This window comes from Homo sapiens, chromosome 9, assembly GCF_000001405.40.
Source record: "Homo sapiens chromosome 9, GRCh38.p14 Primary Assembly".
In the NCBI taxonomy this organism is placed as follows: Eukaryota; Metazoa; Chordata; class Mammalia; order Primates; family Hominidae; genus Homo; species Homo sapiens.
In genome coordinates, this window is record NC_000009.12 from 41,699,040 (window position 1) to 41,725,231 (window position 26,192).

The 26,192-nt window shown below is 41.9% G+C and overlaps 1 long non-coding RNA gene across 5 annotated transcripts; it reads left to right on the forward strand.

Moving 5' to 3' along the window:
* The first annotated feature begins 9 nt into the window (after window positions 1-9).
* Window positions 10-25,972, forward strand: LOC107987000 (uncharacterized). Of its 5 annotated transcripts, none has more exons than XR_007061521.1 (3): window positions 10-860; window positions 6,415-6,554; window positions 9,246-16,845. It is a non-coding gene; the product is annotated as an uncharacterized LOC107987000 (long non-coding RNA). The 5 variants fall into 5 exon arrangements; XR_007061520.1 differs by lacking the exon at window positions 10-860 and adding an exon at window positions 1,935-2,470; XR_001746477.2 differs by lacking the exon at window positions 10-860 and having other exon boundaries at window positions 6,486-6,554; window positions 9,225-9,378; window positions 11,762-16,845.
* Window positions 25,973-26,192: the final 220 nt, after the last annotated feature.

Genomic DNA, 26,192 nt, shown 5'->3' on the forward strand with positions numbered 1-26,192 from the left:
AATTGCTTCCATTATTAGCTCATCCCGGGCGGCCTGGTCATTGGCCAGCCCCTGGCCACGTGGTCCCTCGTACCAATCGATCGAATTTCTAGTCGCAATTCTCTGTCTGTCCCTCAGCTCTGGGGAGAAAGTGGGGGCTGTGGCATGGGGGCTGAGGTCCAGTTTGGGGCGGGGTGGGAGAGGAGTCCTTGAGTATCCTGTCCCAGGGCCAAACCCCCAGGAGTCCAATCTTCAAGACCTCCTTGAGCCGACTTCCGCCGATGGAGGGGGATCTTCAGGGTGCCTGCTGGGTTCTCAGGACTCCTCTTCAGATCCTAGTTTTGACCCCTCCGGGTTAGAAAGGATGGGCTCAGCACATCTGGTGAGGCAGGCAGGTCGTCGCTGCAGCACGGAATGATCCCATGGCCCTCAAGGCGTGGTGTCAGCTGAAAGTTCACTGATCTGTGAGCCCTCTGCCTCCCTCCTCCGTTGAAAGAGCAGTGGCGTGCCCCACTTCTAAAAGCCCTGGGGCTCCTGCAAGCGGACACCGCTTTCCAGGACAGGTGCAAACAGGGATGGTGCGAAGCCGAGGTGGAGACAATGCGATCACGCGTGGCACTGGCGTATCCCACAGCAGATGGTGTGAATGTGTGTCACCGGAGGCATATGGGGTGATGGCAAAACCAACAATGGTGTCCAGGCATGTGCCCGGTGGAAAGGGGGAACAAGTGGCCTTTCCCTGAGTGCCAAGGGAACTCAAAGAAGACCTGGGAACCTGGACGGGGCCTTTGCCTCAGTCCAAGCCACATTTTGAAATGCCTGCCAGAGGAGCACAGAGGTTTCTGCAACATTCACCCCACCCCGAAGCCTCCACCGCCCAGGTAGCCCTGACGCAACTTCCCTGCACCCGGCCCCAACCCCATCCCCAGGCCCAGCCCAGTTCCTTTGGTTTCCTGACATTCGTTACAGACAAAAGATTCAGGGAATCAGTCCACCTATGAGCAGAGGAGAGGATATCCCTCATTTGTGAGACAGGACGTGCAAAGGAAATGGGACACCACCTGTCTTAGAAGACAAGGCCAGTCATGATCACCTAGCGCTCATTCTAGGCAATCCACCCACCGATGAGGTGAAACAAGGAGACCAAAGAAGCTTCCCTGTCTGAGACACGCATGGAAGCCAAGTGTTCCAGGCTTATCAGACCTGCCCAATCCAGCAGAAACAGGTTTGGAGAGAGAAAGAGTCATGTCGCGGATCTCCAGAAAGTGTCTCCCTGATGGACTGGGAAGCGATCTTCGTAGAAGTTATTCAGCCAGACCAAGAGGCAACTAGGCCCCTCAGAAACAGGGGAGACAGAGCAAGAGGGAGGACAGAGCACAGGCCAGAGCCCAGGCAGGTTACAGAACCTTGCCACCGCCACAGGCATAAGGGGAGGGGTGCGAAACGCATGACTTGTCCAGAGAGGCCAGCATTCCAGGGACAGGGATTGTTGCCGTCTTCCATTCCCGGCTTCCTCTTCAGAATTGTATCGTGGTGTGGCTTCATTGCTCAGAGAAGAGCCGTGCAGGGGTACAACCATCTTCTTGGAGGTGTGTCTGCTCCTCTCCTGCCGGACAATGAGCTGCTGTGGGGTTTTGTCCTGGGTTGGAGTGTGGTCCTCTTGATCCTAGAAAAGAGGCCGCTCAGGATGGGGATGAGACTTCGATTGCTCCGGGACCGACGCATCTCCTCACGTGATCGAGGACTTCACAAACCCAAAGTGGAACCGCCGTGAAAACGATGGACAACCGGCCACGGGACCCAGACAGAGACACAGAAAGAGGCTCAACAAAGACTGGCCGACATGCAAAAAATCGCATTTTGGCAAACAGAGCACATTCGTCCAAAGACACACACACACACAGGCATACACACACAAACACACACACACACACACACACACAGACCAACAGAGAGAGGGAAAGAAACACACAGAGGGTGAGAGACAGAGAGAGAAGAGAGAATGGGAGACACACACACACACACAGTCCTACAGTGGTGGCACAGAAACACACATCCCAGGCAACCCCTGAGGTTAACTAATAGTGGAAAATATGTATCTAAGAATACACTTGGAACAGAAATGTGAAAAACCGAAAGTAAGAGATATTATGAAGGAGCAAATATAAAATGACCCAGTGCTAAAGAGGCCACAAAGAAAATTGTAGAAGAAAATGACAAGAGGCATTGTGCCTTAATGAGTTTGTGCTTCTATATAAGAAAATACACTAGGCTGGGTAATTTCTGAAGAACAGAAATGTATTTCTCACAGTTCCATAAGCTAGAAGTCCAAGATCAAGGTGCCAGCAGGATTGGTGTCTGGTGAGGGCCTGGTCTCTGCATCCAAGATGGTACCTTGTGCACTGTGTCTTCAGGAGGAGAGGCACTGTGTCCTCACATGGCAGAAGGCGGAAGGGCAAAACAGGGGAAGCCCACTCCCTCCAGTCCTTGTGTAAGGATCCTACACCCATTTGTGAAGACTCTCCCTTCATGACTGAATCACTACCTAAAAGCCCTACTTCCTAATCCTATGACATTGGTGATTAATTTTAGGGGGACACATTCAGAGCATAGCACCCTATATTCAATTTCTTAAAAATTATTTTGTTGTTTTGCTTTTCTGTTTTTCAAATGGCTTAAGTGCACAAAATTGGATTAATCATAATCCTTGGCTCATAGTACACCTTGGCTCCTATTTCACCCTTGTCTGTGCCTGGGCCTCTGTGTAAATGTATTTGAACAATATGGTAATCACTTGTCAACTTACAACACAACCAAAGAACTAGGGTTCTGACCCTAACATCTGCTCCTCCTCTGTCCTTTTTCCTGATTTTCACCCTTCAGCCCGAGGGTAACTACTACCCTGAATTTATGTTTAGGATTCTCTTCCTTTAAAAAAAACACATTGTTTTATTGCATACATATGATTACCCTAAATGACATGTTACTTAGTTTTTAAGGGTATAATTTATTTACCCATTCTCCTATTAATTTACCCATTCTCCTATTAATGAACATTTGGCTTATTTCCAGATTTTTCCTATTATGAATGGCATTACGTGAGCATTTTTTTTTTTTTTACTACATCTTGTACATATGGGCAAGAGTTTCTCCAGGGCCTATGGTAGAGAAATTACTTTGCCATAACATATGAGAATGCTCAAATTTATAAGATAATCCAAATTGCTTTCCAAAGTGGTTGTTCTAATTTAAACGCTCACCTCCTGTATTAGTTCGAGATGATCTTGTTGATCCACAGTCTCTCCATATATGGTGATATGGTTTGGCTGTGTCCACACCCAAATCGCAGCTTGAATTCTATCTCCCAGAATTCCCACATGTTATGGGAGGGACCCAGGGTGAGGTAATTGAATCACGGAGGCCAGTCTTTCCTGTGCTATTCTCATGATAGTGAATAAGTCTCATGAGATCTGATGGGTTTATCAGGAGTTTCTGCTTTGGCTTCCTCCTCATTTTCTCTTGCTGCTGCCATGTAAGAAGTGCCTTTTACCTCCTGCCATGACTCTGAGGCCTCCCCCACCATGTGGGACTGTAAATCCAATTACAGTTCTTTTTCTTTACACCTCTTTTTCTTCTCAGACTTGGGTATGTCTTTATCAGCAGTGTGAAAACAGACTAATACAGTAAATTGATACCAGTGGAGTGGGGTGCTCCTGAAAAGATACCCAAAAATGTGCAAGCAACTTTGAAACTTGGTAACAGGCAGAGGTTGGAACAGTTTGGAGGGCTCAGAAGAACACTGGAAAATGTGGGAAAATTTGGAACCTCCTAGAGACTTGCTGAATGACTTTGACAAAAATGCTGATAGTGTTTTGAACAATAAGGTCCAGGCAGAGGTGGTCTCAGATGGAGATGAGGAACTTGTTGTGAACTGGAGCAAAGGTAACTCTCGTTATGTTTTAGCAAAGAGAATGGCAGCATTTTGCCCCTGTCCTAGAGATTTGTAGAACTTTGAACTTGAGAGTGATAATTTAGGGTATCTGCTGGAAGAAATTTCTAAGCAGTAAAGCATTCAAGAGGTGACTTGGGTGATGTTAAAGGCCTTTGGTTTTATAAAGGAAGCAGAGCATACAGTTTTGGAAAATTTGCAGCCTGACAATGTGATAGAGAAGAAAATCCCATTTTCTGAGGATAAATTCAAGCTGTCTGCAGAAATTTGCATAAGTAACAAGAAGCTGAATGTTAATCCCAAAAACAATGGGGAAAATGTCTACAGGACATGTCATAGGTCATCACAGCAGCCCTTCCCATCACAAGCCTGGGACCTAGGAGGATAAAATGGATTTCTGTGCTGGGCCAGGTTGACTGTGCTGTGTGTAGCCTAGGGCCTTGTTTCTCTGCGTTTCAGCCCCTCCAACCATGGCTGAAAGAGGAAAACATAGAACTCAGGCCACGGCCTTGAGAGTGCAAGCACCAAGCCTTGGCAGCTTCCATGTTGTGTTCAGCCTGCACATGCATAGAAGTCAAGAACTGAAGTTTGGAAACCTCCACCTAGATTTCAGAGGATGTTTGAAAACACCTGGATGTCCAAGCAGAAGTTTGCTGCAGGGGTGGTGCTCTGATGGAGAACCTCTGCTAAGGCTGTGCAGAAGAGAAATGTGGGGTCAGAGCCCCTATACAGAGTCCTTACTGGGGCACTTCCTAGTGGAGCTGTGAGGAGAGGGCCACTCTCCTCCAGACCCCAGAATTGTAGATTCACTGACAGCTTGCACCATGAGCCTGGAAAAGCTGTGGACACTCAACGTCAGCCCATGAAAACAGCCACGAGGTGGGCTATACCCTGCAAAGCCACAGAGGCAGAACTGCCCAAGGCTGTGGGAGCCCACCTCTTGGATCAGCATGACCTTGATGTGAAACATGGAGTCAAAGGAGATCATTTCGGAACTTTAAAATTTGACTACCTTGCTGGATTTTGGACTTGCATGGGGCCTGTAACCCCTTTGTTTTGGCAAATTTCTCCCATTTGGAACGGCTGTATTTACTCAATGACCTGTACCCCCATTGTATCTAGGAAGTAACTAGCTTGATTTGGATTTTACAGGGTCATAGGCAGAAGAGACTTGCCTTGTCTCAGATGAGACTTTGGACAGTGGACATTTGGGTTAATACTGAAATGAGTTAAGACTTTGGGGGACTGTTGGGAAGGCATGATCGGTTTTGAAGTGTGAGGACATGAGATTTGGAGGGGCCAGGAGCAGAATAATATGGTTTGACTATGTCCCTACCCACATCTCAACTTCAATTGTATTGCTCAGGATTCCCATGTGTTCGGGGAGGGAACCAGGGGGAGGTAGTTGAATCTTTAGAGCCGGTCTTTCCCATGCTATTCTCGTGATAGTGAATAAATCTCACAAGATCTGATGGGTTTATCAGTGGTTTTGTCTTTTGCTTCTTTTGCCTCCTTCTCGTATTCTCTTGCCACTGCCATGTAAGAAGTGCTGTTCATCCACCACCATAACTCTGAGGCCTCCTCAGCCATGTGGAACCCTTAATGCAATTAAGCCTCTTTTTCTTCCCTGTCTCGGTTATGTCTTTATCAGCAGTGTGAATATGGACTAATACATTTTGTATTGTCAAACTTCTTAATATTTGTGGAGAGAATAGATGTGTAGTATCTTGTGCATTTCCCTGATTACTAATGAGGTTGAGAAAATTTTTATGTTTTGCAGGCTTTCTCTTTTGTGAAATCCCTATTAATGCATTTTCCCAATTTTCTGTTGGGTTGCTATTTTTAAAATTAGAAATAACTGTCATCAATCCAAAAGCTTACACATGGCAGATCCCTTCACACCAGTTCACAGTACAAAGTAACTCCTTGCTTGTAGAAAACATTATTATTATCATTATTATTTTTGAGATGGAATTTGACTTTTGTAGCCCAGGCTGGAGTGCGATGGTGTGATCTCAGCTCACTGCAACCTCTGCCTCCCAGGTTCAAAGGATTCTCCTGCCTCAGCCTCCCAAGCAGCTGGGATTACCAGTGCACACCACGATGGCCTGCTAATTTTTTGTATTTATGTAGAGACAGGGATTCACCATGTTGGCCAGGCTGGTCTCGAACTCCTGACCTTAGGTGATCCACTTGCATCGACCTTCCAAAGTGTTGGAATTACAGGCAGGAGCCACCACACCCAGACTAGAAAACATTATTCAATAGCAAACAGTAGCAGTATGCTTGGGGGTTTTAGGATTGATTATTTTCAAATCTCTAGAAAAGCTCAATGCATTACCTTAGGCTATAATCTCAGGGCAGAGTCTCATCTGTTAATGTGGGGCTGGTCTAAGGGTCCTTCCACCTCTCAGATTTATGGTTTCCGATGTTGAACTGCTCCCTGTCACCCACCCATCCTCGGTTTTGTTTGTTTGTTTTTACAGAGACGAGGTCTCACTATATTGCCCAGGCTGGTCTTGAACTCCTGGCCTTAAGCGATCCTCCTTCCTTGGCCTCCCAAAGTGCTGGAGTTACAGATGTGAGCCTCTGTGCTCAGCCCATCCTTGGCTGTTCAAGTGTAGAGGTAAGTAGTAGATGCCAAGTTTACCTCCAGGTAAGAAGGGGCAGATGCCCCAGGGCAGAATCATAACCATAATCAGGCCTCCCACTGCATGAAGACATTATGTTCTGAAGCTTAAACCTGGACAAAGGTCTGACCAGTAGCACTGTGTTCATGAATGTCAGGTCAAAAATTTAAAACTGGGACTATCCAGAAGAACCTGGTAGATGCAGGTGCAGTCCACAGTCCAATGGTCAGCCTTGATAACAGGCCACCTGTACTTTCTCTTTATCATGGAGTCCTTGATGTAAAAATTGATGACACTTTCTTGCTTCTGGTGTGCTTCCCTTTCTTCTTCATTTTCCATAAGTAGTTTCCTCCATCCCGCCTCCCAACAGGCCACAGTCAATTCAGGACATTTTAACCATGAAAATGAGTCTCCATAACACGAATTTAGAGGCCAGACAGGGTGGATCACGCCTGTAATCCCAGCACTCTGTGAGGCTGAAGTGGGGGAATGGCTTGAGCTTAGGAGCTTCAGACCAGCCTGGGCAACATGGTGAAACCCTGTCTCTAACAATAAATAAATAAATAAATAAAAATAAGCCATGTATGGTGGTGCATGCTACTAGTCCCAGCTACTCAGGAGGCTGAGGTGGGAGGATTGTGGGGCCAAGGAGGTCAAGTATGGAGTGGGCCAAGATCATGCCACTGCAATCCAGCCTGGGTAATGGAGTGAGACCTTATATCAAGAAAAAGAAAAAGATTTAAAGGACAGGCTGACTTTCTTGTTACAAGCCAATGCTCATTTGCTATTCCATAAATCCTAGGGCACCTCTTAAGAATTATGCTAAATCTACACTACCCAAGCTCTATAAATGGAACAACAACACTTGGATGATATCAGAGCTGTTTACCGCATGGGTTACTGAGTATTTTAATCCCACTGTTGAGACCTACAGTTCAGAAAAAAAGATTGATTTCAAATACTTCAGCTTTTTGACAGTGTACCTGGTGACTAAAAAGCTCTAATGGAGATGTACAGGGAAATGCATGCTGGTTTCATGCCTGCCAACACAACATCTATTCTGTAGTCCATGGATTGAGGCATCATTTTGACTTTCAAGTCTTATTATTTGAGAAATATATTTCATAAGGCTGTTACTGCCACAGGTCATGATTCCTTTGATGGATCTGGGCAAAGTCAATTCGAAACCTTCTGGAAAGGATTCATTATGATAGATGCCACTAAGAACATTCATGATTCACCAGAGGAGGTAAAAATAGCAGCATTAATAGGAGTCTGGAAGAAGTTGATTCTGACCCTCATAAATGACTTTGAGGGGTTCAAGACCTTAGCAGAGGAAGTAACCACAGTTGTGGTGAAGATAGCAAGAAAACTAGAATTACAAGTGGAGCCTGAAGATGTGAGTGAATTGCTGCAATCTTTTTTTTTTTTTTTTTTGAGATGGAGTTTTGCTTTGTTGCCCAGGCTGGAGTGCAATGGCGCAATCTCGGCTCACCGCAACCTCCGCCTCCTGGGTCCAATTGATTCTCCTGCCTCAGCCTCCTGAGTAGCTGGCATTATAGGCATGTGCCACTGCATCTGGCTAATTTTGTATTTTTAGTAGACAAGGAGTTTCACCATGTTGGTTAGGGTGGTCTCAAACTCCCAACTGCAGATAATCCATCTGCCTCAGCCTCCCAAAGTGCTGGGATTACAGGCATGAACCACCGCACCCGGCCAAATTGCTGCAATCTTAATGGAAATAAATGGAATTAGATGGAAAAAAGTTTAGTCTGGGGCTCAGGATCAGCTCTCCCTTTACTACGACATTCGCGTGCAGCGCACCAAGGAATCAGAGAATTCTACACTCGACTTTGACCTTGTGGGTTATTATGGCAATATATTTATCATAATATACTGTGAATATTTATCAAAGTAGGAGAATAGAACATATTTAACTATTTGTTAGCTTCATTTATAACTCATAATTATTTAGACATAATGCAAATGTGGGCTGGAATTCATGTTCTGATTTTTTGTGGCCTTGAGCTAAGGAAAAGGGACCCAGGGAAATGGGCTTTATATGCTTGCATGGCTTCATGGAATCCCCAACTTCCTTAGCTTCTGTGACAACTCAAGATTGTTACTAAAATCCACTTTGTATTATCTTTAAAAACCAAGGGATATCATTTCTGCTTATATAATATATAATATTATAATACATATTATATTATGATAAAATATATAATATAATATAATTAATATAATAATATACAATATATAATATTATATAATATAATTAATATAATATACAATATATATTATATATTATTATATAATGTTATATAATATATAATTTATATTATATAATAATACATATATAATATATATAAAATAATATATTATTGTTGCTTGTTATGAATGAGGAAAGAAAGTGGTTTCTTGCGACGGAATCTACTCCTGGTGAAAATGCTGTGAACATTGTGGAAAGAACAACAAAGGACTTAGAATATCCCATAAACTTAGTTGATAAAAGAGTGGCAGGGTTTGAGAGAATTGGTTCCAATTTTGATATAAATTCTACTGTAGGTAAAATGCTACCAAACTGCGTAGCATGCTACAGTGAAATCTTTTGTGAAAGGAAGAGTCAGTCAATGTGGTAAACTTCATTGTCATCTTATTTTAAGAAATTGCCACTCCCTCTCCAGCCCTCAGCAACCACCACCTCGATCAGTCACTAGCTATCAACATTGAGACAAGACCATCCAGCAGCAAAATGATGATGACTTACTGAAGGCCCAGATGATGGTTAGCATTTTTTGGCAATCACGTATTTTCAAAGTAAGGTATATACATTATATTTTAGACATAATGCTATTGCACACTTAATTGACTACAGTAACTTAAACATAACTTTTTTTTTTGAGATGGAGTCTGGCTCTGTTGCCCAGGTTGGAGTGCCGTGGTGCAATCTTGGCTCATTGCAAACTCTGCCTCCTAGGTTCAAACAATTCTCCTGCCTCAGCCTCCTGAGTAGCTGGGACTACAGGTGCGCACCACCATTTTTGTATTTCCGGTAGACACAGGGTTTCGCCATGTTGGCCAGGCTGGTCTTGAACTTCTGACCTCAGGTGATGCACCCACCTCGGCCTCCCAGTGTGCTGGGATTACAGGCGTAAGCCACCATGCCTGGCAACATAACATTTATATGCACCAGAAAGCAAAAAATTTCGTGTGACTTGCACTGTTGTGACATTCACCTTATTGTGTTACCTAGAACCAAACCTGCAATATCTCCAAGGTGTGCCTGTATCCCTAGAAGCAGAGCTGGAATAAGGACTTCGGTGTGGGTGGTTTATTTGGAAAGTGATTCCAAGAAGCAAGAGTCAGAAGTGGGAAGAGTGAGCCAGGCAAGAAAGAAAAGCCAAAATAATGGCATGCTATTGAGGCTCCTGCCATGCAGTTTTTTCTGCAGGACCTTCCGAGAGGCTCCGGAAAGTTATCCGGAAATGTCCACCTGAAACATGAGCCTGGAGCATTTGTCCACCTGTCCCACACTGGTTGAGGTCTTCCCCTGAGGCTGTTAACCTGCAAGTGTTTCTGGGCTGTATTTGTGCTCAGGCAAAATCCTACAATAATGGAGATTCCCTAGGGCAGAAAGTGTACCTTGAGTTTGCTGGCAGCACAAGAGAAGCCTGTGCTTCCATGGAACTTCTCACGGTGGCTGAGACTGAATGAAAGGTGAGCTGAGAAAACATGACGCAGGCGCCATTGCACTAAGCAATCATAGCCATCGATCTGGGCAAGAGGACCCCTGCCCTGAATCCTGCACTTGAGAAGGTGCCTCTCTGGCCCTCCACTGACTGTACCCTGGCCCACTCAGAGCTTCACCATCTCTTCTAGGGCACACGCTGGGCACTCAGGGACCTGGCGAAATGTGCCTGAGCCTGCATGGCCTCTTCCCTGGGTCCATTTCAAAGTGCAAACTGTGCTTGTCCAAATGGTGCCCAAGGATCTGCTTTCTGAAGGGGTGAGAATTGTGGATGCAGCTTGCATGGGGCCTAGGGAGTTCCCCACACAAGGGTATGCAAAGCTTCTCAAGTGAGGACAGGGCTACCTACGATGAAAGAAAAAAGTTTAGCCTGGGGCTGATGATCGGCTCTCCCTTTACTACCACATTCCTGTGCAGAGCACCAAGAAATCAGAGAATTCTACACTCAACTTTGACCTTGTGGGTTATTATGGCAGTATATTTATCGAAATAGGAGAATAGAACATATTTAACTATTTGTTAGCTTCATTTATAACTCATAATTATTTAGACATAATGCAAATGTGGGCTGGAATTTACGTTCTGATTTTTTGTGGCCTTGAGCTAAGGAAAAGGGACCCAAGGAAATGGGCTTTATATGCTTGGATGGCTTTGTGGAATCCCCAACTTCATTAGCTTCTGTGGTGACTCAAGATTGTTACTAAAATCCACTTTGTATTATCTTTAAAAACCAAGGAATATTATGTAGATCAGTAGTTAGAAGGTACTTGACTCAAAATATGTATGAACCAAAGGATATAAATGACTAAAAGCAGGAGGATTATTACCTGAAGTGGTGGAGGGTTGATCTCAGGATATGACCTGTGAGATCCTTCCTGCTGGCTCAGTGCTGGCTGAATGGGGGGCAGGAGAGCACCAGGAACAACACACATCTGGGACAGGAGGGAATGCGGGGAGGAAGGAAAGAGAAATAGGCCTTTTTATTTTTATTGATACATGACAATTATACATATTTGTAGGGTACATGTTATATTTTGATACATGCATACAATGTGTAGTGATCAAATCAGGATAATTTGCATATCCATCACCTCAAACATTTATCATTTGTGTTGAGAACATTCTACATCTTTCCTCTAGTCATTTTGAAATATATAAGTTATTGTTAATGATCATCACCCTACGTGCTATTGAACACTAAAAATTTTTCTGTTCCTTCCATCTAACTGTATTTTTGTGTCCATTAACCAACTTCTGGGAAGGGCAAAAGAGTGGGTGGATGAAAAGGGCCCTTTTTAAGGAAAAGTAAATCTTACAAGAAGGGAAGACATCTTAGGAGGAAAAATAAAAAGGTGGACCATGGGCTTAGAGTAGGGACTGCAGAAATTGAATGGCAAAGAAAAAACCAACTTAGCAATGTGAAAATACATCTCAATGTCATTCTTTTCACAGGTCCAGTGTCTGATTCTTTTGGGAAGCTGGATATGAAGTCAGAATCTTTCTTTGAGTCATACATTTTCATGATTATGATTATTATTGAATGATAGCTGGCAATTATTGAGAGCAATTATTGAGGACAATTATTGAGCTTTCACAAGCCCTTTTCAAAGGTCTTTACATATATTTTCTCCACTTCTAACTGTTAGATATTCTTATTATTCCCATTTTGTAGATGAGGGATACACAGGCATAAAGCCTATGTGGAGGCAGAGAGCAGCTACGTAACCTGACTATGGCCCAACAGCAAACAAATGATGGGGCCACATGCAAATCCAGGCAGAACCCTTCTATTATATGAAGCTCAATGTTTTCTTGTTTGCAGCTTGTTATGAATACCTCTATTTGCAAATGGGTTTTGAAGCTACTTTAAAACATTTTGTGGCTGTGCGTGGTGGCTGGCACCTGTAATCCCAGCATTATGGGAAACCAAGGTGGGCAGATTGCCTGAGCTCAGGAGTTTGAGACCAACCTGGCCAACATGGTGAAACCCTGTGCCTACTAAAAATACAAAAAAATTAGCCAGGTGTGTTGGTGTGCACCTGTAATCCCAGCTACTCTGGAGGGTGAGGCAGGAGAATCACTTGAACCCAGGAGAGGAAGGTTGCAGTAAGCTGAGATCATGCCACTGAACTCCAGCCTGGGCAACAGAGTGAGATTCTGTCTCCAAATAAAAAATAAATAAGATTGAATTTTGAGCTCCTGACCATGTCCCTAGATTGTGCTCATATGTATTTTGATGTCTAATAAGATTTATTCTCAGTGCATTTTTTAAGTGAAAGTATTTATTGAGCATCTACTGTATATCATGTGCTGAGATAGGCACCAGTGGTGCAGGGAACATATGGCACAGTCTCTGACCTCAGGTAACTTTCACTCTCATACATATGTATTAGGACACCAACACATGTGTGAATATAAGATAGTATGATAGATATTGCAACAAGTAATTATTTACTGTAAACCTATTTTATAGGATTTTAAACTTAAACTACTTTCACCCTATTTCCAAAAAAAAGTATTGCATAACTTTAAATAGATTCTCAGTTTGAAATCATCATACAAACTGCAGTAGCATCTGCTGGTGAAATACTGCTTTGTATCTATTAGAATAGTCCAAACAATTGGGAGACAACTGCATTATTAGAGCTGTAAAAGTTATTGTCTAGAAATCTCAGAGAAGAAGAGGAAGTTCTATGGTAGATGAATAAGATGACATCTAAACTGTTCTCTTCAGCTACTGAAGTTCTGTGGATATCTCACAGCACAAAGTTCAAGTGTATGCCCACAGCTCCTCATGCCACAAGATGTGACACCTTTCCAATCTCTTTTTGCAAAAGTTTCCAATTATGTCTCTTTTAAGAGTACTTTTTATACCCACATATTCCGGATTTTGTGGTGCACGCAAAGACAAGATGGGAAGGGGCTTCCATTTATTGATGCCAGCTGCTCCATGGACCAGGCCCTGCCCATGCATCCATGTTGGTTCTTTTATCCCCACATCAGCCATAGCCCATAAGCATTAACTGCCATTGCACAGATGAGGAAATTGAAAGTCTAAGAGAATATGCAATCTACCCAGAGTCATGCAGCTTGTGTATGTAAGGTTTGGAATGAAAATCCAATCTGTGTGAGTCTCAAGTCCCCTTCCACCATATGGTTTCCATTTCATTTTGCAATCAGATTGGCTGGGATATGTCTGCCCTAAAAGATAGTAAGTAGGAATATTTGTCTCTATACCTTAACCTGACATCCATGGGCTTGCTTTTTGTATTTGGAGGTGTCATAACATTATAATAATAATTTGATTTTATTTGTACAGTGGATATTATACTACTCAGTCTAGAGATTTATGACATCCCAGTCTAAACTGGATGATAGCAATGAAGCTTCTTCAAGGAGACAAGTATGAGTAATAAGGTAGTAATAAGCTGAATTTCTATGGAGTTGCTACTTCTGAATTAAAACTAGTTGAGATTAAGTAGATATTCAAAAATATTGCTATAATCTTCACTTGAATAATACAAACATTTATTATTTTTACATATTTATTTATTTATGGAACATAATTTTAAAACAGAATATTTTCAAATTGTATTAAAATATATTAAAAACATAATACATTATCACCCAATAGAGTTTTTCAAAGTAACTCAGTGTTAGTTTAAAATGTGAAATTCAATCAACATAATTCACCATAGAATACAGTGTGTATGTCAGTATAATATATATATCAAAATTGGAAAGCAGTAAATTTATCTTTGTTTTGTAATAAGATGAAATTAAAATTTTAATGAATTTCAACTTTCATTTTAGATTTCGGAGGGTACCTTTGCAGGTTTATTACATGGGTGTATTGTGTGATGCTGAGATTTGGGGTATGAATGAAAGTGTGAGTGCCTGTTTTGAACTTGCACCGAGAGCAATCTCCCCTGATCAGCAGAGGGTAAACTAACTTGAATTACACTTGAATTTTTTAGTAGAGCAGGTCACAAAGGGCAAATTGTAGTCCAGAGACAAAAGTGCTCAGTGGTCTAAAATGAGCCTGCCATATCACTGAGGGTACAGGTCTTCACAGAAATATATTTCAGAAAGACGTCAAACCTTTGTTTAAAGATAAATGTAAGCTGGGTGTGGAGGCACACGTCTATAATTCCAGCTACTCAGGAGGCTGAGGCAGGAGGATCCCTTGAGTTCAGGAGTTTAAGACCAGCCTGGACAACATAGGAAGATCCCATCTCAATTTTTTAAAATGAGAAAAAAATAGATAAACTTAAACATATTAAAATTTTAAAGAGTTTATTTAAGCAAACAGAGATTCATGGATCAGGCAGCTCCAAACTGAAAGTGGTTGGAGGATCTACTGGAGGTGTTTGTAAGGAAGGCTTTTACAGGGTGAATATAGAAGTAAAGTAGAGAAATTATTTGATTGGCAAAAATGTGGGCAGTTGCATTATTTGAACTATCCTGGTGGTAGGTCTCTCATTACCCAGCTAATACTCGGCAGGCCACCTGTGGGTGGGCTAAGCTTGTTTCATTTTGTCTATGCAGGAACCCTGGCCATGGGAGCTATCTCAGCCTAATGCTCTCCCATTATGAAATTTTACACCTTCTTTCTGTATCAGGGTAAGTGGGGATCTTCCCCAGGAGGGTTCTTACCACCCTGTTTCCCTCAGCAAAATGAAACTGTCCCTTTTGCCTCTGTAGGCAATCTTCTGAACAAGGCATTCCTAATATTCTTATCTCATCTTATTTTATCTTATCCTCTTCTCTGTACCTTGTTTACATGCTTCTGGAACACTTGTGTGTCTTGCACCCATCTCCTGCATTATTTAGGCAATCCTAACAGAAGGCCGCTAGGATGGATTGGAAGAGAACTGCTGGCATATTGAGCCCTCTCTCTTTGTATCTGGAACTTTCATAATTACCTTAGTTCTCCATGCCAATTTTGCACTTATCTTTGTTCTCCACTTCAAAATACATTTACCTCTGACAGCAGCTGAGTTCATAAAAGGGAACTAGTCCAGTGGTACTTATGAGGCAGGAGACATGATATAGTTAAAATTATAAACTATAATCACTATATAGTTATATATTATATATAATCACTATATCACTCCAGGGTTGAAGTGATACTCCTGCCTCAGCCTCCTGAGTAGCTGGGATTACAGGCATGTGCCACCACACTCGAATAATCGTATATGTTTTAAAATAGGAATAGATTTTCTCAGCTAAACGGAAGGGAAATGCTAAGGAAAGAGTGAGATTTGACTTGATAATTATGTTTCTGAATGAATCAGCCAATTAATAAAATGAAAACAGGCCAGGACAGTGGTGCATGCCAGTCATCCCAGCAATTTGGGAGGCCAAGGTGGACAGATCACTTGAGTCCAAGAGTTTGAGACAAGCCTGAGCAACATATCAAAACCCCGTCTCTACAAAAAATACAAAAATTAGCCAGGTGTGGTGGCTCATGCCTGTAGTCCCTGCTACTTGGGAGGCTGAGGTAGGAGGATCACCTGAGCCTGGAGATGTAGAGGCTGCAATGAGCTGTGATCATGCCACTGCACTTCCAGCCTGGGTGACACAGTGAGACCCTGTCCCAAAGAAACTAAACTAAAATGAAATGAAAACAAACACAAGACAAAAATTGATGGACTTATTTTAACACTTAGCATGATGAACACACATAGATAACAATACTAACCCAATGGGTTTTTGTCAGTCAAACTCATGGTCACTAGTCTAAAGAAAATAGGAATAATGACTGTGAATTAACAACCATTTACAACATTAGAAATACAAAATACAAATTATTGTCAGATATATCAGACTCACAATTATTTGACCTTTTAAGAATTCATCCTGCTCTCCATAATGAATAAGAAAATACTGATAACTCTTTTTTCCCTTAACTTAATCCTTTGTGCTCCTGAATCTCTGAATTTGTGTTTACATCTTAACACTCTTTTTTTGTAATTATTTTCTGCAGCTTTTTTCTCTTCACTTGAGGCATCTCCTATATTCTCTTTACACTTTTCCACAAATGACTCAATTTTTTTCGTAAGCTTCATTGATGAGTTCCATGTATGTGATGATAGTGTAATGATAAATTATCCATGTGGTTTCCCTCCAGTCTTGTTCATTATTCAAGTGACTCTCCTTGGTCTAGCAACAGGCTAGGAGGTAACTATGACATTTTGTTCAGGTTAAGCAGGAAGAAGAAAACAAAATCTACATTCTCTTTTTTATATTTTAAACACAAGCCAACAAATAATTTGGAAAGACCCATGATTAGACAGGGAGGATTTTATGCTCCTTCAAGAGTAATTGAGATTGTTTAATTGTATGGAGGAATGAGCATATCTCAAGGGGAATCGAGAAGGTATAATATTTGGATGACAGAATCATTAAGAACTGGCTTTGCACCCTGGCTACACCATTGCACATAGGAAATATTAGGGTGCAGGGGTGCATGCCTGTAATCCCAGCACTTTAGGAGGCTGAGGCAGGTGGATCACCTGAGGTCAGGAGTTCAAGACCAGCCTGACAAACGTGGTGAAACCCCATCTCTACTAAATACAAAAAATTAGCTGGGTGTGGTGGCACATGCTTCTAATCCCAGCTACTTGGGAGGCTGAGGCAGGAGAATCACTTGAACTTGGGAGGTGGAGGTTGCAGTGAGCTGAGATAGTTTCATTGCACTCCAGCCTGGGCAACAACAGTGAAATTCTGTCTCAAAAAAAAAAAAAAATCACTGCCCCACCAACTTTTTCACATAGGATGATTAAGGATTCCAGAGTCCATGCTACCTCTAGGGGCTCCTACCCCTGCCACACCACACATATATCTTGACAGGGCCTGTTATAGAGAAGAAAAGGCCCAGTAAATTAATATCACAATCATTGCCACATACCCACCAAAAGACTCAGATTAAAATTTTGACGAAATTAAGTGTCAAGAAGAATGGAGAGATTTGGGAATTATCAGACATTGTAAGACTGTCAGTTGGTGTGTTAACATTGGGATGAAACCCATAATAACTGGTAAAACTGAAGATACGTTTACCCTGTAACCTGTGATTTCACCTCTTGGTTTATACTGTACATAAATACACACTAATGGTAACCAAATAGAAATACAAACATGTTCACAACAGCATCATTTGTAACTGACAAAAATGAACACAACCCACATGTCCACCAACAATGAAGGGATACACACTGGTGTACTGTAGTTTTATTTATTTTTATTTTTTTATTTATTTTATGTATATAAATATAAATTTATATATATTTTTTGAGACAGAGTCTTGCTTAGTCACCCAGGTCGGAGTGCAGTGGTGCGATCTCGGCTCACTGCAACCTCCGCCCCCTGGGTTCAAGCAATTCTCCTGTCTCAGCCTCCCCAGTAAGTGGGATTACAGGCATGTGCCGCCACTCCTGGTAAATTGTTGTATTTCTAGTAGAGATGGGGTTTCACCTTGTTGGTAAGGCTGGTCTGAAACTCCTGTTCTGAGGTGATCCACCTATCTCGGACTCCCAAAGTGCTGGGATTACAGGTGGCAGGCACTGCGCTTGGGCTTTTTTTTTTTTTTTTTTTGAGACTATCACTCTATTGCCCAGGTTGGAGTACAGGGCACGATCTTGGCTCACTGCGACCTCCATCACCTCCCAGGTTCAACTGATTCTCCTGCCTTAGCCTCTCAAATAATTGGGATTACAGGCACACACCACCACACCTGGCTAATTTTTTTTTTTTTAACAGAGTCTAATTCTGTCACCCAGGCTGGAGTGCAGTGGTGAAAACTTGGCTCACTGCAACCTCTGCCTCCCAGATTCAAGTGATTCTCCAGCCTCAGCCTCCTGAGTAGCTGAGACTACAGGCATGTGCCACCACACTTGGCTAATTTTTTCTATTTTTAGTAGAGATGTGGTTTCACCGTGTTTGCCAGGATTGTCTCCATCTCCTGACCTTGTGATCCACCTGCCTTGGCCTCCCAAAGTGCTGAGATTACAGTCATTAGCCACCACGTGGCCTAATTGTTGTAGTTTTAATAGAGATGGAGTTTCACCATGTTGGCTAGGGTGGTCTGGAACTCCTGACCTCAAGTGATCTGCCTGCCTCGGCCTCCCAAAGTGCTGGGATTATAGGCGTGAGCCATCATGCCTGGCTGGTGTACTGTTTTAATAGAATGCAGAAACAATGCTAAGTGTGAATCTTAAGTACTTAATATTGAGTAAAAGGTGCCAGATGCACCAGGATACAGACTTTTACTCCAATTATGTAAGAGAAAAACCAGGCAAAATCAGACTTTACTTTAGGCATATAAAAAATGCATAATAAGGCCAGGCATTGAGCTCAGGAGTTCCAAACCAGCCTGACCAACATGCAAAACCCCATCTCTACTACAAATACAAAAATTATCCAGGCATGGAGGCACATGGCCCATGCCTGTAATCCCAGCTACTTGGGACGTTGAGTCATGAGAATCGCTTGAATCTGGGAGGCGGAGGTTGCAGTGAGTCAAGATCTTGCCACTACACTCCAGCCTGGGCAACAGAGTAAGGCTCCATCTCCAAAACAGAAAAAAATATATAAAATACATAATAAAATTATAAAGAGAACCAAGGAGAGGATGGCAGATATCCACAGGTAATGTGGATATCTGTTATATCTGTTACTAATAAGGGGAAGGAAGACTTTAGGATCAGTTAGGGGCATACAGAGGACTTCTCGGTGGTGATAGTGCTCTATTTCTTCACCTGGATAGATATCACACAGATGTTTATTTAATAATTGATGTATCCATACCTTTGTTTGCATATTTTAAAATAAGAATGAAATAGAGGAAAGGAAGGTGAATGGAAAGAGATTTCTCCATTCATCAAAATTTTAAAGTCATGTTTTTCCTCAGGTTCTTCTCCAAGCTCAGTCTGAAATGACGAAAGCAGCCAAGCATGGTGGCTCACGCCTGTAATCTCAGCATTTTGGGAGGCTGAGGCAGATGGATCACCTGCGGTCAGGAGCTAAGACCAGCCTGGCCAACATGCTAAAACCTCATCTCTACTAAAAATACAAAAATTAGCTAGGCGTGGTGGTGGGCACCTATAATCCCAGCTACTCGGGAGGCTACAGTGAGCTGAGATCACATCACTTGACTCAAAAGAGTGAAACTCTGTCTCAAAACAAAACAGCAACAACAATGACAAAGGAAACAGGAAAACATCCTCAATAATAGAGGACTTACCAAATTGGGTGCAGCCACTCATACTGTGTCTTGATTTGTAGATAAAGAAAATGATGACCCTCCCTAGGTACTGATTTAGAGTGACATTTCTGTGAAAATAGAGAAATACTTACATATCCATAGAACACATATATGCATTTAAAATTGTATATGAGCATGACATATACATACATATTTGTGTGCATGACACCTGCATCCTTGTATGTTTAAATACGATCTGGCAATTGCATTCTTTGGTATATACCCAAATATTTGAAAACTTATATCCACTCAAATCCTGCACATGAATGTTATAGCAGCTTATACACAACTGACAAAGATTGGAAGTAACCAAGATATCCTGCAATAGAGAAGTGGATAAACTAACTCTGAAACATTCATACAATGGAATATTCTTCAGGAATAAAAAGAGATGAACTACCAAGGCATGAAAAGACATGGAGGAATCTTAAACATGTATTTCTAAGTGAAAGAAGCCAATACAAAAAGGCCACATAGTATAGAGTTCCAATTATATGGAATACTAGAAAAGGGAAAACTAGGCAGATGGAATTATAAAAAGTTCAGTGGTTGCCAGAGGCTTGAGCAGAGGGAAGGATGAATAGGTGGAGCACAGAAGATTTTTAGGGCAGTGAAACTTTTCTGTGTGACCCTATAATTGTGGATATATGTTCTTAAGCATTTGTCAAAGCCCATAAATGGTAGAACACAGAGAGTGAATCTTAATATTAGCCATGAACTTAATAATATCAATATTGGCTCATCAAGCATAACAAATTACCACACTAACAAGATGATAATAGAGGAAGTGTGTGTACTATGGTGTGAGGTGGATATTAGAGCTCAATATACCTTCTGCTCTATTTTTGTGTATACCTACAACTGTTCTAAAAATTAAGTCAGTTATTTATTTATTTATTTATTTATTTATTTATTTATTTATTTTTATTGAGATGGAGTCTCACTCTGTCACCCAGGCTGGAGTACAATGGCCCGATCTCGGCTCATGGCAACCTCTGCCTCCCAGGTTCAAGCGATTCTCCTGCCTCAGCCTCCTGAGTAGTTGGGATTACAGGCACCAGCCACCACGCCTGGCTAATTTTTTGTATTTTTAGTTGAGACGGGGATTCACTGTGTCAGCCAGGATGGTCTTGATCTGCTGACCTCATGATCCACCTGCCTTGGCCTTCCAAAGTGCTTGGATTACAGGCATGAGCCACTGCGCCTGGCCTTATTTATCTTTTTGAGACAGGGTTTAGCTCTGTCACTCAGGCTGGAGTGCAGTGGTGCAATCATGGCTCAATGCAGCCCCAACCTCCAGGGCTCAAGTAACCCTCCCACCTCAGCCTTCTGAGTAGCTGGGACCACAGGCATGTGCCACCATGCCCAGCACATTTCTTAGACCTCTGAAAAGATGCTCAACACCGTATGTCACTAGGGGATTCAAATTAAAACAACGATGTGATACCATTACACATCTCTTAGACTGGCTTGAATGCAAACACCAACACCAAATGCTGGTGAAGATACGGAGCGACAGGAACTCATCTCTATTTCTGCTGAGAATGCAAAGTGGGACAGCCACTGTGGAAGGCAGTTTTGCAAGTTCCTGCCAGACTAAACATACGCTTACCATACGATCCGGCAAAAAAATGAAATTTTAAAAATATATTTTATATACTTGAAACATATACATTTAAATAAATATATATTTTATATATATTTTAAAATAATATATATTTTTATTTTTTGTAGAGACAGTCTCTACAGACCATAGCCTGCAGATTCTATTAATTTTAAAAGCATTTTAAACTCTTGAACAAGAAATTATTTGAAGAGTGAAAAATAAAATGATAGAGTATTGATTGGTAAATTCCAAATGTTATATATTACATAATCTGGATTAATTTTAAATTCCAAAAAGTGCAACTTTAAAAAATATTTTAAAAATTTCCTAATCTGAGGTCAATACTAGTTCAACACATTACATTCAAGAGCTGATTTCAGAGGAGACATAAGGTCAACAAGTTCTTAGGTTTTGACTTTGTTTTCTGACTATCTGTGTTTGTGAATGGTGAATTTTTAGATTTTGTTCCTTTCTTCTTAGGGTATTGACTAATATTTTATTAAGCCGGAGAGACAGTAAATTAGAATTATCTGTTTGTCCATTTTATCTGTTATAAGTATTTCCTCCAAATTCACTTATTTAAAGTTTTTGGTTTATTTAGTCAGGTGCAGTGGCTCAGCCTGTAATCTCAGCACTTTTGGAGGCTGAGGTGGGGGATCGCTTGAGTTCGGGGGTTCAAGATCAGCCTGGCCAACATGGCAAAACCCAGTGCCTACTACCATACAAAAATTATTTGGGTGGTGGGTGTTTTGGCTCACTCCTATAATCCTAGCACTTTGAGAGGCCAAGGTGGGCAGATCACCTGAGGTCGGGAGTAAAGAAACAGAGAGTAAAGATTTTCTGAAACCAAAAAGTCTGAGAACAGCTGCTCAATATATTCATTCAACAACTATTTGTCTCCTTACCATGTGCATGGTACAGTTCTAGGCTCTAGGGATAAATAGCATTGAACAAAATTGACAATATCTCCTGCTCTCATCAAGTTTACATTCTAGTGGACATAATGTAAGAACAGAGATGATTTGTCAAAAAGCAGTCCGGGCACAGTGGCTCATGCCTGTAATCCCAACACTTTGGGAGGCCGAGGCAGGGAGATCACTTGAGGTCAGGGGTTCAAGATCAGCCTGGCCAATATGGTGAAAACCTGCCTCCACTAAACATACAAAAATTAGCCAGGGCTGGGTGTGGTGGCTCACCCCTGTAATCCCAACACTTTGGGAGTCCGAGGTGGTTTGGATCACCTGAGGTAAGGAGTTCAAGACCAGCCTGGCCAACATGGTGAAGCCCCGTCTCTACTAAAACACACACACACAAAAAAAAATGTTAGCCAGGCATGGTGGCAGATGCCTGTAATCCCAGCTACTTGGGAGGCTGAGGCAGGAGAATCACTTGAACCTGGGGGGCGGAGGTTGCAGTGAGCCAAGATCACACCAATGCACTCCAGCCTGGGTGACAGAGCGAGACTCCATCTCAAAAAAAAAAAAAAAAAAAGTTTTAAGTGCTATGGAAAAAAAAGGGAAGTGGTAAATAGTTTCAATTTCAGATAGGATGATCTCTGACAAGGCAAGAATCATGTTAAGACATGAAGAAAATTAATACAATGATCCTTACAGGTATATGGAGGGAGAGCTTCTTTTCTTTCCTTTTCTGTTTTATTTATTTATTTATTTATTTATTTATTTATTTATTTATTTATTTTTTAGACAGAGTTTCACCGTTTTGCCCAGGCTGCAGTGCAATGGCACCATCTCAGCTCATTGCAACCCCCATCTCCCGGGTTCAAGTGATTCTCCTGCCTCAGCTACTCCCCCAAGTGAAAGGTGACCAAGAGAGCCATTGAAAATAGTGAGAGTGGCCGGGTGCGGTCCCAGCACTTTGGGAGGCCAAGATGGGTGGATCATGAGGTCAGGCATTCGAGACCAACCTGGCTGAGAGGGTGAAACCCCGTCTCTACTAAAAATACAAAAATTAGCCAGGCGTGGTGGCGTGCCCCTGTAATCCCAGCTACTCCGGAGGCTGAGGCAGGAGAATCACTTGAATCTGGGAGGTAGAGGTTGCAGTGAGCCCAGATCATGCCACTGCACTCTAGCCTGGGTGACAGAGCAATATTCTGTCTAAAAAAAAAAAAAAAAAAAGAAAAGAAAAGGAAAGAAAAAGAAAATGGTGAGAGCACCATGTTTGAAAAGTGGTCCAGGCACTGGGGTAAGGGGTGAGTGTCAGCCAAGTCATCAGCTATCAGAACAGGAAGCCATCAGGTAATATATCAAGTTGATATATTGAGAAGGAGCAGGATCTACCTATTATATAATATAGAGATAAGCACTCAGATATATAGATTAGAAATAGTTTAGAAAATTTAGACATTTGATTATTCGGGAAGTAGATCTGGGAGTATTGGAGAAACAGGGTGGGGGAGTAGACTGCATGGAAAGCTCTTTCTTAGTTTGTGATTTTTCATTTATGCACATAGGTTTCTTACATAACATGGAAAATTCAATTAAAGAAGAAACAACATTGTGTTCTGAGGTCCCAAAGGTGTAGTGATTAATTAGAAAGACTCACAAAATCGAGTGAAGCTGTTTTACTCATAGTTTATTACAACGAAAAGATACAGATTAAAATCAGCAGCAGAAAAAGGTGCACAGGGCAGAGTCCAGGAGAGACAAAGCACAAGCTTCCAGTTGTCCTCTCCCAGTGACATCGTGTGGACAGTGCTTAATTCACCCAGCGATATTTGGCAAACAGTATAGAATATACTCCCCAACAAAAAGCTTACCTGAGCCTTGGTGTTGAGCATTTTACTGGAGGTTGGTCACATGGACAAGAGCACCCATTTGGATGACATTAGTTTCTCCGTCTCCACCCTTCCCAAGGTCAAGCTGAGACTGCATGGTCCAAGGTCCCCATAATAAATCACGTTGTTAACTCCCAGATAGGCAGGAGAGTCCGAGGACTTAGAGGTTATTTCCTGGGAACTAGGATAGAGTCACACCATTCTTTGGAGTATGCCAGGTTTGGGCAATTCAGGCCTACTAAGTTTCCTTGACTGCACACAAGTGATAGTATGTAGGAAATGAGTAGTTGCATATATTGCTGGTGAAAATACAGTGTTATATAACCCTTTGGAAAGAAATCAAGTGTGTAGCACATAAACATTATATTTGGTTTGTTTTTGTTTTTGTCTGAGACAGGGTCTCACTCTGTCACCCACACTGGGGTGCAGTGGCATGATCACAACTCACTGCAGCCTCGACCTCCCAGGCTCCAGCTATCCTCCCACCTCAGTCTCCTGAGTAGCTGGGACCACAGGCACCTGCAAGTACACCCAGCTAATTTTTGTGTTTTTTGTACAGATAGGGTTTCACCATGTTGCCCAGGCTGATTTCAAACTCCTGGGTTCAAACAATCCCCTACCTCAGCTCCCCAAAGTGCTAGGATTACAGGAGTGAGAGCCACTGCACCCAACCTATATTTGTATATACATTAAATTGTATATGTTAGACTGGGCACGGTGGCTCACACCTGTAATTCCAGCATTTTGGGAGGCCAAGGTGGGTGGATCACTTGAGGTCAGGAGTTCGAGAGCAGCCTGGCCAACATGGTAAAAACCCATCTCCACTAAAAAAACAAAGTTAGCTGGACATGGTGGCAGATGCCTGTATTCCCAGCTACTCAGGAGGCTGAGGCAGGAGAACCAAGCAGTGGAAGTTGCAGTGAGCCGAGCTCATGACACTGCACTCCAGCCTGGATGAGAGAGCAAAACTCTATCTCAAAAAACAAAACAAAAAAATTGTATATGTTATTGTATGTATGTGTATATATTAAGTTGTATATACCCATATTAAATATATATACATATATTACACTTTACACACATACACTTGTTTCCTCATGCAATTTGTTTCAGCAGAAGTAAAAACTAACAAAGTTATAAGTAAAAGAATATTTACAGAAGCACTATTTTTGGTGGCAAAAGTACTTTAATATCTTAAATGCTCATATAATGAAAGATACTTTAACTCTTACAAAGAATGTGTCAGCATTTTATCTACTATAAAGGTATCCTAATATCTTTATACCTAAAGTGATATATGTGGCCAATTTTTATATTAAAAAAGGAGAATGCTTTATAATTAAAGAAAAAAGAAAGAAACGTTATATAATAGCCCTCCCTTATCTGCAGGAGATGTGTTTAAGACCCGCAGTGGATGCCTGAAACTTGGGTAGCATTGACCCAATTGCTTTCAATCAGAACACATTTCTGTTTGATTTCCACTCACAAATTTAATGCCTTTTTCATCTTAACTAAGCACTTATCACACATATGGCTGTACTTTTTAGAGCTTGGGGTGCAACAAACAAGACTAACAGAAATTTCTTTTTCCTTCTTACATTTTCACCGCTAGAGGATTTGTTCTTACCATCGATCTTAGCAACCTGAGCACACGACTTCTCTCTTTTTCTTTCTTTCTTCCTTTCTTTCTCTTTCTTTCTTTCTCTCTTTCTTTCTTTCTTCTTTCTTTCTTTCTTTATCTTTCTTTCATTTTTCTTTTTTTCTCTTTATTTTATGTATTTACTTATTTATTGAGATGGAATCTCAGTCTGTCATCCAGGTTGGAGGGCAGTAATGCGATATTGGCTCACTGCAAACTTCTCCTCCCGGGTTCAAGAGATTCTCGTGCCTCCGCCTCCCAAGTAGCTGGGATTAAGGCCCTCACCACCGTGCCCAAATAATTTTTGTATTTTTTGTAGTGATGGGGTTTCACCACGTTGGCCAGGTTAGTCTCGAACTCCTAACCTCAAAAGATCCACCCGCTTCAGTCTCCCAAAGTGCTGGGGTTACAGGCATGAGCCACCACGCCTGGCCTGTATATTCTGTTGTTTGCTGGCCAATACTTACATGAATCTTGGAGAACATCATGGAAAGTTGCTCATCATCTTGTTAACTGGTTATTTCAAGAGTGGAACTGGAGGGGGAATACTGCCTTTCCTGTGTATTTATTTGTAAT